The sequence below is a fragment of the Homo sapiens genome, chromosome 1 (assembly GCF_000001405.40).
Source record: "Homo sapiens chromosome 1, GRCh38.p14 Primary Assembly".
In the NCBI taxonomy this organism is placed as follows: domain Eukaryota; kingdom Metazoa; phylum Chordata; class Mammalia; order Primates; family Hominidae; genus Homo; species Homo sapiens.
Window position 1 is genome coordinate 187396370 of NC_000001.11, and position 3661 is coordinate 187400030.

Below are 3661 nucleotides of genomic sequence, written 5' to 3' on the forward strand. Positions count from 1 at the left end.
CTGTTTACTTGTCTTTTTCAACTTCCAGAGGTGGCAGCATTCCCTAACTCTTGGCCCCCTTCCATCTTCAAAGCCACCAGTATGTAGTCTGGTCTCTCTGATATCTGACTCTTCTGCCTCCCTCCTCCACATTTAAAACATGCTTGTCAGGGGATTGCTGGCAAGATGGCTGAATAGGAATAGCTCTGGTCTGCAGCTCCCAGCAAGATTGACACAGAAGGTGAGTGATTTCTGCATTTCCAACTGAGATACCTGGTTCATGTCATTGGGACTGATTGGACAGTGGGTGCAGCCCAAGGAGGGCAAGCCAAAGCAGGGTGGGGCGTTGCCTCACCCAGGAAGGGCAAGGGGTCGGGGAACTCCTCCTCCTAGCGAAGGGAAGCCATTAGGGATTGTACCATGCACTCCGGCCCAGACACTGCACTTTTCCCACGGTCTTTGCAACCCACAGACCAGGACATTCACTCCAGTGCCCATGGCACAAGGGCCCTGAGTTTCCAGCACAAAACTTGGTGGCCCTTTGGGCAGACACCAAGATAGACACAGGAGGTTTTTTTTCATACCCCAGTGGCTCCAGGAATGCCAGCAAGACAGAACTGTTCACTCTCCTGGAAAGGGGACTGAAGCCAGGGAGCCAAGTGGTCTGGCTGGGCAGTTCCCACCCTTATGGAGCCCAGGAAGCTAAGATCCACTGGCTTGAAATCCTTGCTGCTAGCACAGCAGTCTGAGCTCGAACTGGGACACTCCAGCTTGATGGGGGGAGGTGGGTCAGCCACTGCTGAGGCTTGAACAGGCAGTTTTACCCTCACAGTGTAAATAAACCCGCCAGGAAGTTTGAACTGGGCAGAGACCACCGCAGCTCAGCAAGGTCACTGCGTCCAGACTGCCTCTCCAGATTCCCTCCTCTCTGGGCAGAGCATCTCTGAAAATAAGGCAGCAACCCCAGTCAGAGACTTAGAAATAAAACCCCCACCTCCCTGGGACAGAGCAGTTGGGGGAAGGGGTGATTGGGGACGCAGCTTCAGCAAACTTAAACGTCCCTGCCTGGCAGCTCTGAAGACAGTAGCAGATCCCCCAGCACAGTGTTTGAGCTCTGATAAGGGACAGACTGCCTCCTAAAGTGGGTCCTTGACCCCGTGTATCCTGACTGGGAGATGACTTGCAGTAAGGGCCGACAGACACCTCATACAGGAGAGCTCTGGCTGCCACTTGGCAAGTGCCCCTCTGGGACGAAGCTTCCGGAGGAAGGAACAGGCAGCAATCTTTGTTGTTCTGCAGCCTCCGTCGGTAATACCCAGGCAAACAGGGTCTGGAGTGGGCCTCCAGCAAACTCCAGACCTGCAGCAGAGGGGCCTGAATGTTAGAAGGAAAACTAACAAACAGCAAGGAATAGTATCAACATCAACAAAAAGGATGTCCACACAGAGACCCCATCCGAAGGTCATCGACTTCAAAGACCAAAGGTAAATAAATCCACAAAGATGGGGAGAAACCAGCGAAAAAAGGCTGTAACTTCCAAAAACCAGAATACCCCTTCTCCTCCAAAGGATCACAACTCCTTGCCAGCAAAGGAACAAAACTGGACGGAGAATGAGTTTCACAAACTGACAGAAGTAAGCTTCAGAAGGTGGGTAATAACAAACTCCTCTGAGCTAAAGGAGCACGTTCTAACCCGATGCAAGGAAGCTAAGAACCTTGAAAAAAGATTAGATGAATCGCTAACTAGAATAACCAGTTCAGAGAAGAACATAAATGACAGTCTATCAGATGACAGTCTCTCAGACCACAGTGCAATCAAATTAGAACTCAGGATTAAGAAACTCACTCAAAACCTCACAACTACATGGAAACTGAACAACCTGCTCCTGAATGACTACTGGGTACATAACGAAATAAAGGCATAAATAAAGATGTTCTTTGAAACCAATGAGAATAAAGACACTGTGTACCAGAATCTCTGGGACACATTTAAAGCAGTCTGTAGAAGGAAATATACAGCACTAAATACCCATAAGAGAAAGCAGGAAAGATCTAAAATCAACACCCTAACATCACGTTTAAAAGAAGTAGAGAAGCAGGAGCAAACAAATTCGAAAGCTAGCAGAAGGCAAGAAATAACTCAGATCAGAACAGAACTGAAGGGGATAGAGACATGAAAAACCCTTCAAGAAATCAATGAATACAGGAGCTGGTTTTTTGAAAAGATCAACAAAATAGATAGACCTCTAGCCAGACTAATAAAGAAGAAAAGAGAGAAGAATCAAATAGATGCAATAAAAAATGATAAGAAGATATCACCACCAATCCCACAGAAATACAAACTACCATCAGAGAATACTATAAACAAGTCTATGCAAGTAAACTAGAAAATCTAGAAGAAATGGATAAATTCCTGGACACATACACCCCCCAAGACCAAACCAGGAAGAAGTCGAATCCCTGAATAGGCCAATAACAAGTTCTGAAATTGAGGCAGCAATTCATATCCTACCAACTAAACAAAGTCCAGGACCAGACGGATTCACAGCCAAATTCTACTAGAGGTACAAAGAGGAGCTGGTACCATTTCTTCTGAAACTATTCCAAACAATAGAAAAAGAGGGAATCCTCCCTAACTCATTTTATGTGGCGAGCATCACCCTAATACCAAAACCTGGCAGAGACACAACAAAAAAAGAAAATTTCAGGCCAATATTCCTGATGAACATTGATGTGAAAATCCTTAATAAAATACTTGCAAACCGAATCTAGCAGCACATCAAAAAGCTTATCCACTACGATCAAGTCAGAGTCATCCCTGGGATGCAAGGCTGCTTTGACATACGCAAATCAATAAACATACTCCATCACATAAACAGAACCAATGCCAAAAACCATATGATTATCTCAATACATACAGAAAAGGCCTTCAAGAAAATTCAACACCCCTTCATGCTAAAAACTGCCAATAAACTAGGTATTGACAGAACATATCTCAAAATAATAAGAGCTATTTATCACAAGCCCACAGCCAATATCATACGGAATGGGCAAAAACTGGAAGCATTCCCTTGAAAACTGGCACAAGACAAGGATGCCCTCTCTCACCACTACTACTCAACATAGTATTGGAAGTTCTGGCCAGGGCAATCAGGCAAGAGAAAAAAATAAAGGGTATTCAAATAGGAAAAGAGGAAGTCAAATTGTCTCTGTTTGCAGATGACATGATTGTATATTTAGAAAACCCCATCGTCTCAGCCACAAATCTCCTTAAGCTGATAAGCAACTTCAGCAAAGTCTCAGGATACAAAATCAATGTGCAGATATCACAAGCATTCCTATACGCCAATAACAGACAAACAGAGAGCCAAAACATGAGTGAACTCCCATTCACAATTGCTACTAAGAGAATAAAATACCTAGCAATACAGTTTACATGGAAAGTGAAGGACCTCTTCAAAGAGAACTACAAACCACTGCTCAAGGAAATAAAACAGGACACAAAGGGAAAAACATTCCATGCTCATGGAAAGGAAGAATCAATATCATGAAAATGGCCATACTGCCCAAAGTAATTTATAGATTCAATGTCATCCCCATCAAGCTAACAATGACTTTCTTCACAGAATTGGAAAAAACTACTTTAAAATTCGTATGGAACCAAAAAAGAGCCCACATAGCC

The 3661-nt window shown here is 44.4% G+C and overlaps 1 annotated feature.

Moving 5' to 3' along the window:
• Window positions 809-1532: an enhancer, noted in NCBI's record as "H3K27ac-H3K4me1 hESC enhancer chr1:187366310-187367033 (GRCh37/hg19 assembly coordinates)". NCBI's record gives its function as "activates a minimal SCP1, AML or CMV promoter by ChIP-STARR-seq in naive H9 embryonic stem cells {active_cell/tissue: H9 hESC(naive)}" and the evidence as "EXISTENCE:reporter gene assay evidence [ECO:0000049][PMID:30033119]".